The sequence below is a fragment of the Homo sapiens genome, chromosome 8 (genome assembly GCF_000001405.40).
Source record: "Homo sapiens chromosome 8, GRCh38.p14 Primary Assembly".
In the NCBI taxonomy this organism is placed as follows: domain Eukaryota; kingdom Metazoa; phylum Chordata; class Mammalia; order Primates; family Hominidae; genus Homo; species Homo sapiens.
Genome location: NC_000008.11, coordinates 135,757,755 through 135,767,455, shown reverse-complemented (window position 1 = coordinate 135,767,455; position 9,701 = coordinate 135,757,755). Strand labels below are relative to the sequence as shown.

General features: G+C 36.6%; 1 annotated feature.

The window, feature by feature from the left end:
- Positions 2,486-3,080: an enhancer, noted in NCBI's record as "NANOG hESC enhancer chr8:136776619-136777213 (GRCh37/hg19 assembly coordinates)". NCBI's record gives its function as "activates a minimal SCP1, AML or CMV promoter by ChIP-STARR-seq in naive H9 embryonic stem cells {active_cell/tissue: H9 hESC(naive)}" and the evidence as "EXISTENCE:reporter gene assay evidence [ECO:0000049][PMID:30033119]".

Sequence of the window (9,701 nt, the reverse complement as noted above, 5' to 3'; positions counted from 1 at the left end):
GAGTGATTAACCCTGTGAATTTCCTTCTCCTGGCTCAGAAGCTCCCCCACTGAGCACCTTGTGACCCCCACCCCTGCCCACCAGAGAAAAACCCCCTTTGACTGTAATTTTCCATTACCTTCCCAAATCCTCTAAAACAGCCCCACCCCTATCTCCCTTTGCTGACTCTCTTTTCAGACTCAGCCCACCTGCACCCAGGTGAAATAAACAGCTTTATTGCTCACACAAAGCCTATTTGGTGGTCTCTTCACACGGACGCGCATGAAAAACATAAATGGTCAAAAAATGATCAACCTCACCAGAAAGTGAAGAGATAAAAACTAAAATAAGAAAATATCTGCAGCTGTTAAGTTAAAAGGGATGAAACCAAAATGATAAAAATGCAGATGAGGCTGGAGAGAAATAGGCACTTTCCTGTATTGCGGACAGGTCTGTAAGTTAGCACATTGTTTCATGTGTTCTGAACAAACCTGGCTCTAGACATAAAAACACCTCATTAAAAAGCTGACCCAGAAATTCTAGTTCTAGGAATTGACCTTAGGGGAATTATTGGCTAAGTATACAAGCATGTATGTATAAAGTCACTTCAGAATTGCTTACAGTACAAGAATTAGAAAAAAATTAATTAAAAAGTATAGAACACAAAAAAATTCATATTATACTATTGATCTAAAAAGCATGCTGTACATTAGTAAAATGCAATTCCATTTTTGTTTTCAAAATTCTGCATTTTCTAACATATTGTTCTAAACCTCCCTTATCTGTAGGAGACGCATTCCAAGATCCACAGTGGATACATGAAACTGCAGATAGTATCAAACCCTATATCTATTAATACTATGATTTTTCCTATACACATATACCTATGATGAAGTGTAATTTATAAATTAGGCACAGTAAAAAATTAACAACAATAATAAAATGGAACAATCATATCAATATACAGTAATAAAAGTTAGGCAAATATGATCTCTCTCTTTTGCTTTGTCTCTCCTTCTCTCTTTCCCAAATATTTTATTGTACTGTACTCACTCTTCTTCTTGTGATCTGTTGATGTGATAACCTAGATGGCTACTAAATGACTAATGTAGCAGATACAGGGTAAATACACAAAGAGCTGATGCAGGTCCTTGGCTGGACAGAGTGGGACAGTGTGAGACTTCATCACACTACTTAGAACCACATGCAATTAAAAGCTTATGAATTATTTATTTCTTAAATTTGTTATTTAATTTTTTTTTGCCTAGAATGCTATCTTTTTATTTTTTTATTTTCATGAATACATAGTAGGCATATATATTTATGGGCTACATAAGATATTTTGATACAGGCATGCAATGTGTAATCATCATATCAGGGTAAATGGAATATCCATCCCCTCAAGCATTTATCCCTTGTGTTAGAAACAAGCCACTTATACTCTTCAAGTTATTTTCAAATGTATAATTACACTATTTTTGACTAATGTGATCCTGTTGTGCTAGTAAATATAGGTCTTATTCATTCTTTCTATTTTTTTATACCCACTAACCATCCCCTCCCCACCTTTCTCAGCCTCTGACAACCATCCTTCTATTCTCTATCTCCATGAGTTCAATTATTTTTCTTTTAGAGCTCACAAATAAGTGAGAACATGTGAAGTTTGTCTCTCTGTGCCTGGCTTATTTCACCTGACATAATGAGCTCCAGTTCTCTATGTATTTAATATTTTTTGGACCTTGTTGACTGTGGGTAACTGAAACCGAGGAAAGCTAAACTGTGGTTAAGGGGGAACTACTGCATACGCGAGGACACACACACACGCACACACACGCGCACACACACACACACACACACAAACCACTTCATGGTTATCTATATATTTACAGAGAGAAAGTCTCAGTAAGTTCTAGAAACTTGTATACCAAAATGCTAACAATAGATATCTTTATGGTTCCTGCAAGAAAAACTTTAATCCATTACTCTTGTTTCCAAATTTATTTCTAATGGCATTGTTAGACCTTTATAATCTCAATGAATCTGTGTAATGTAATCAGAAAATAATATTTTAAAAATAAAAATAAAACCCACATTTTAAATGCTTAGGACAATGCTGTATTAGTCAGGGTTCTCTAGAGGGACAGGACTAATAGGATAGATGTATATATAAAGCAGAGTTTATTAAGGAGTATTGACTCACACAATCCATCATAAGCTGAGGTCCCACAATAGGCCGTCTGCGAGCTAAGGAGCAAGGAAGCCAGTCCTCCAAGTCCCAGAGCTGAAGAACTTGGAGTTCCATGTTTGAGGGCAGTTAGCTTCCAGCATGGGAGAAAGATGTAGCTCAGAAGATTAAACCAGTTTAGTCTTTCTATGTTCTTCTGCCTGCTTTTATTCTGGCCACACTGACAGCTGATTAGATTGTGCCCACCCAGATTGAGGGTGGGTCTGCCTTTCCCAATCCATTGACTTAAATGTTAACTTCTTTTGGCAACACCCTCACAGACACACCCAGGAACAGTACTTTGCATCCTTCAATCCAATCAAGTTGACATGACACTCAGTATCAACCATCACAAATGCTTAGGATATAACAGGTGCTCATTAAATACCAATTACTGTTATAATTATTTAAAGCAAGAATATAGACCAAATTAATTGACTTGTCTTCACATCAAAGTTATGAAATTGTCCCTCTTCTTTCCATTCTCTGATCAACTTAATCTGAACCCACTAAAGGTAATATGCATTTCAATGATCTTTGAATCCCCAGCACAGAGCCCTGTGCCTGATCCATTGTCAGCGCCAAGTAGGGAAGACAATGAGTAATTGAATGAATGTCCTCATATAGAAGGGGTTTTTCACAGGAATCTAGAAAGCAAAGGGAAGAAGATCTAGCTGTGTTGCCACTGTGTCAAGACTATTCGAATGTTTTGTTTACATATATTGTTGATCTCACAACCCTTGGTATTATTATCTCCCTCTGAGAGATGAGGCTCAAAGAGGTTCAGCAACATGCACAAGCCATACAGGCAACTAGCAAGTGGTGGATGAAGGTTGGCACCTGCTCCACCTGACTTTCAACATCTCTTCTTTCCTCCACCCCTCCAGCTTGGTCTGTGATTCCCTTCTAGTGAATGCATTGCTAGAGGTTAAAAGTCAGACTGATCATCCAAACACTGCCATCTTCATAATCTCAAGGAGTAGAGGTGTGAGTTCTGATGGTTCACTGGCTCACTGATTTGGAAATGAGCCTGCAGAGCTACCATCCCCCAGGTAATGGGGCAGAGCAGCAGCCCTCCTTGGCTAAGGAAATTAAATGAATTTCCATCCATTCACCTAAATGATTCTTTTCGCCTCTCAGGAGACGTAGCAATCAAAGAGAGCAGGCGAAGAGCGGCAGTGGGCTTGGAAAGGTCAATGACATGAAAAGCACAGAATCTTCCTCCATTAATGCCCTAATTGTTTTTATCACCCAGTTTTCACTCAGACGTCAAACTTAATCTCTGCCTTTTTCCTCTCCCAGGTCACAGATGTTTAATATTTCTGACTAAGACATAATGAACCTTTTTATGTCACTGTAATATTTAGTCTCTTTAAAACATGATTAGCTGCATCCATTGTGCAATGCAGGGATGACTAGAAATTTCAGAGATGGGATTCCATTAGTTGGATTTTATTACCCAGCCAAGCTGAATGGGAAATTAAGCCAGGTAGCAAAGGTCAGTGGTGATACACTACAGTGCCAGCGTGGGGTGGATTCTGAAGCTCTGGTCAAAGAAAAGTAGAGGTTTGGAGTTCTAAGAACTTTTAAAAGTTATTGGAAAGACTTTCCAATTTTGTCCAAGTCTGCTTCTCAAATAAACAATTTTTTTAATGTGCTAGTTTACTAAAACTTCATGAAAAATAACTTCTGTCTGTGTGTTTCTAAATCGTGGTTCCTATTTTGACTGGCTCGTTTGGCAAAAATATGCTCACAAGTCAATGAGTAGGTGATTGCTCATAAAACATCATTGAAAAATGTAAAGTGCATTCTTATGTGTTTGTGCAAACAAGCATGAAGGTGCATCTATTGCTTCTTTTTCTTTATTTCTCAAAGTAGCTTTTGTTGTCCCATGCTCATGAAAAAGCACACACTATCTTTACGCACCCCAACACACCATGCAAGCAAGGACTGATAACACTGAGCTGAACAAACTCTGAAGCTACTTGTGGAAATTTCTCAAATTTTCTACATTTGATTCCAGAGCTATCATATCAGTTTCCACCTCAGACTTCACTCTTGATTTTTTGCCTCCCCTTTTTTTATTCTACCAATGACTTCAAGTTGAAGATACCCCATAAAGAAGAATTATGACAATATCTGACATTCATTGTGAATTATGAGTAACAGTAAAAGCTACAAAAATGAGGAGAGTAACTACTGAGGGGGATAGGTGAAGCATTTTTATAACTATCAAGATATAAACACTAGTCTCTGCTTTCTGTCATTTGCCAAAACAATAATAGTAACTAAATGCTAATGATACTATTAGAGGAACAAATATTGGAGACATGGCACCAATTAGAGTTTGGCCCCCACCATGGACAAAACTAACTATAATATTATCCCAAATCCAGCCAATTTCACTTCTTCAATATTTTCTTCAGTTATTTTTTTTAAGAAACACGGTCTTGCCTTGCTGCCTAGGCTAGACGACACTGGCACAATCATAGCTCACTGTAATCTCAAACTCCTGGGCTCAAACAATCCTCCTGCCTCAGCTGACTGAGTAGCTAGAACTAAATGTGCACACCACAGAGCCCCGCTATTTTTAATTTTTTTTTTTTTTTTTTTTTTTTGTAGAAACAGTGTCTCACTATGTTATCCAGGCTGGTGTTGAACTCCTGGCCTCAAGTAATCCTCCCTTTACTTCCAGAGAAGCTAGGACTACAAGTGCATGCCACCATGTCTGACTACTTTTCTTTTCTTACTTTTTATAGAAACAGGGTCTCATTATGTTACCCAGGCTGGACTCAAGCAGTATTTTCAAAACTCTCAATTAAACTGTTTCTATAGGTGCCACTGAATAGTTCTCTCTACCTCCATACTGACACCTAGCTCTCTAAATGGCTCATTGCCTTCAGCACAAGGCAATTGAAACCCTCCAGGACCTGGCCCTTTTCACCTCTTTTCCCATGCTTCCCCTACCAAGTGGGGAGTCTTCTTTCTGGCTCTGAAATTTCTCCTGCCGCCCACACACAAACCTGCAGCCTAGAAGGATGCAGTTACGGAGTTTTATTTGAAGGGAAATTGGGTCCTGGAAATACAGACATTTTGGATTCCTGATGGCATGGTTTCTGAGAAACTAGCAAAAAGAATATCCTCAGATATGGACTAGGCTAGAAGTTCATATTTCACTGATTATTTTCTTCCATCATGTATCATAATGAAATAGCTTATTATATATTGTAGGTATACGTGTGTGCATATTTATATACACAATTGATTTATTTATATCTATATATTAATTTTGAATCATTTTATCAGATTATTTTACTATTTTTATTCACTTATAGTTAATAGCCTTGAATTATCAGGCTATTAGTTAAAAATTGTCATTTTTAACTAATGATGGTTTTTCTCCTCATTTCAAACTTTTGTGCATGTAATTTCTTTATCTCACCAACACAACTAGTTATAATATAATTTATAACAGTGATAAATGTGAATCCTTGTCTTTCTCCTGAACTTAGTGGGAATATCTCTAGTACTTCCTCACTCACACTAAAACTGCCTTTGTGACAAAAGAGATATTATTTACCAAGTTAGGAACATATTTTTGAATTCCCTTTTTGTTGAACTTCTTTCAATCAAAAATAAATATTCAATTTTGTCTGATGCCTGTTCTGCATCTATGAAGATTCTCATTAGAATGCTTTCCTCAGATACATAAATATGATTTGAACACAGTGTCTTGTAATGCAGCATTCTTGAATTATTAGAATAAATGCCACATAGAGATGCCGAGCTGTTTAAATGTGTTATTGAATTGTTTGATATTTTATACAGAACTTTGCACTATTACCATAAATGAGAATTCCTATAATTTCATTTCCGTGTGATTTTTTAATGTTTTGGAGTCAATGCTATGCACATGACATACAAAGAATTTGTAAGTTTTTCTTTTTTATTGATATTAGGGAGAAGTTTGAATAGCATTGAAACTATCTGTTCCTTAAGTATTTGGCAAAAATCCACCATGAAGCCATCTAGATTTGGTGTTTTATTTGTGGAGGAGGTTGTCCTTTGACAATATTCCTCTATTTCTTTCATGCAAATTGTCCAGTCTAGATTCCTTTTCATGTCTTCTAGCTTTGGGAATATGTGTTTCTCTGGAACAATGGCACTTCATCTAAGTTTCATATTTGCAGAGATTTTAGCAGCATATTCTTTTATGAATCTAATTTCTTCTCTTTCTGTTGTTATTCTTTCCCTTTTAAAAATGTCATGTATTTCCACATAATCCCAACACCTTTTCTCGTAGTGTATTTGTTTCCAACAATCATCTTTTTTTCTATTGATCAGCTTTTCTCTTTTCACACTTTCCAAATCATCAATTTTTGCTTTTGTCTTTATTATTCTTTTTCTTCTGCCTTCTTCTAACTTTGTCATTGTTGTTGTTGCTATTATCTCTTTCTAATTTCTTGCTTTTATGTTTAATTCATAAATCTTTATTTCTTTTTGTTTATTGAAGTATGTATTGAAGACTACGAGTTTTCTTCTGACTGCTATTTTCACAGTACCCCATGAGGTCTGATATGCAGTGTTTCATTAGCAGTAGTTTGTAGATATTCTGTATTTTGAGTTTGTAGATTTTCTTTGAACCTATACTTACTTGAGACATATATTTTTAACTTCTAAGAGCTAAATAATTTTTTTCTGATTTTGTTCATGCCTAGACGTATGTAATTGTTATCAAATGCGTCTGTATTACTTCTACTACTTGTAATTTTTCGACATTTCCTTTGAGACTAGTATTTGCCAAATTTTAGTGACTGTTCCATGAAACATTTAAAATTTTTCAGCATCTAAAGTTTAATATATCAGTTAGAACTGTCTTGTTATTTTGTTTGGCTTTTCTGTAATCTTGCATATTTTTTCTTCTTGACTTTCCTGGACTGAGATAAATCAGTGTAGGTTTCCTGTTGTTGGTGTTTCCTTCTATTGGTGTGTTTCTGTTTTTCCCTATGTCTCTCACATGTTTGGCTTTATGAAGGTGAACGGTGTTATGCTGTATTATGTGATGCAGAGGCATTCCTAATTCTCACTGTCAAAGTCATCCTTTACATTTATTTAGTGCCTTCTTTGCTTCACGTAATGATTTTTACCATGAATTCTACATTGTCGTATGTTAATGTTGCATCCTCTGCTTTCTTCTTGTTTGAATTTCCCTAGCACACCTATTTGTAACCTTCTAAGTCACTATTATTTATTAGTTAATTAACTCCAACATTATGCACATAGCTTTTCAACTAGGCAAAGTATCGATACACAAAGCAGCCAGAGTTTTCGACAGAACAGTAAAAGGTCATGGCATTTGAAATCAGACAAATCTCAATTCAAATTCCAGCTCCAACTTATAGTGTCACTCTGCAATGTCTAAACTAAAAATAGGTACAAGGTGCAGAGGTAGCACAGAGGAGGAACTAGTTAAACACCAGGAAGTCTTCCTGTAGGAAGCAGCTTAGAAACTTCCACAAGAACTTTCTTCCTAATCTGAATCATTTTCCCCTGGATTCTCAAGGCCTCTTCTTTATTCTAAAACAACTCCTAGTCTGCCGTGTAGTACAAATGCACAGCAGGCACATCTATTTCTGGTTTGACTCTCCTGTATGGGTTTCATCATTATGCCTAGCACAGTTTACTGTTATTGAGTGAAGTAAGTTGCATTTTGAGTAAGATCAGTATTTATTTCATTAGAAATTGGCAAATCACAGCACAAGTGAAAAAAAAAGTATGTCACATTTTCAGAGTCTAAGTGTTGATTGGGTAGAGTCGGTACCATGCACGTGCTTACTTGTGAAAGAGACATGAGCCCTGCAACATCTGGGTGTCCTGGCCCTCACCACAGTTTAGTTATATTCTGCCTACTTTGGGGGACTTTATGCATAAAAGACATTTAATAGTTAGGACACTGAGATCATTCCAGAGATGTCATAATTTTTCTTCTTACCATGGCATAAATTCTCTCCAGAGTCAGCATGTAGCAGGGACTACTTTTTCATTTCCCTCTACTCTTTGGACATAGAAAAAAATTAAAATAAAATAAATCAATTATTTATTGAGCTTTTGCTCTGTAACAGATATTTTATAAGTATTTTATCTCAATTAATCTTTGTAATAACATTATGAAGTTAGTACTAATATCATACTTGCTTTACAAAGTACTCACTCTTCCCTTCCCTTATTCCTTTTAAACTTCACCATTTTCTTGCAATCGGTTATGTCTTAGGCCATCTTAGGCTGCTGTAACAGAATACCACAGATTGGGTAATCTATAATAAACAGAAATGTGGGGGGTGGGGGCGGTGCTAGAGGAGGGATAGCATTAGAATAAATACCTAATGTATATGACAGGTTAATGGGTGCAGCGAACCACCATGGCACGTGTATACCTATGTAACAAACCTGCACATTCTGCACATGCCCCCAGAATTTAAGTATAATAAAAAAAAATAAAAAACAAAATAAGCAGAAATTTACTGGCTCACAGTTCTAAAGTTTGAGAAGCCCAGTATCAAGCCATGATGAATGAAGAACAACTCCCAAGGAGTGGGGCTGAGTGCCACCCCAGAAACAGGCAATATGCACCACCGTGGGTTTCAGAATTGCTGTGGTCCAGTGATGCCTGTGTACCTCTAGGTTTCCCCTTTTTTGAATAAGATTATCTATGGCAATTATCCTATACCTTCTCATACCTTCTCAGCTATCAATTGTTGATATGTGTGTGTGCTGCAAGATAGGGTAGATAACCTATCTCTAGTTCATAGGTCTTCAGATGGAAAGGAGCAGTATCCAAAAAGAGGTGATCAAGGAATGCAACCTGAGGAGCTTCATCTGCACTTGGACCTGATGAGATGACAAAACCCTGGACATCAAGCCACTATAATGGGATGAGACTGTGGGAAAAGAGTGAATGTATTTTTCGCACAAGAAAGCTTTGAATTATTATGACCAGAGGGAGATCCGTAACACTGTGCTAAGCAAAGAGCCACCTATTCCAGTTATCTGCCCTATGCTGTTGAAGGTACCAATAGAAATTTTTATATCATTGTCTTTTTCTTTCTTTAAAATCAGGAGTTCAATTCTTGGGTAAGGCTACCATCCTCATTATGGGATGAGGCTGGAAGAATGAGATGGAAGAAAGTGGACTAGTTATTTTCACTATAACAGCATTATCAGTATTTACTATATGCCAAGCTAAATACTTAGGTTTTTCATCTTGGTTAATCTTTAAATGACAAATATTTGAGGTAGTTCTTATTACTACGTGCAAGTTTAATATGAGGAAATTGAAACACAGAGCGGTTAGTTAACTGGCCCAATGTTATATAGCCAGTAAGACTGGACCTCTGGATTAGAAGCTAGGCTTGTCTGACACCAAATCCCCATATCATTCATCACAGTACTCTAATGCCACCTTACCTTGTTCCTGGGTCTCAAAGATTTATACTAATAT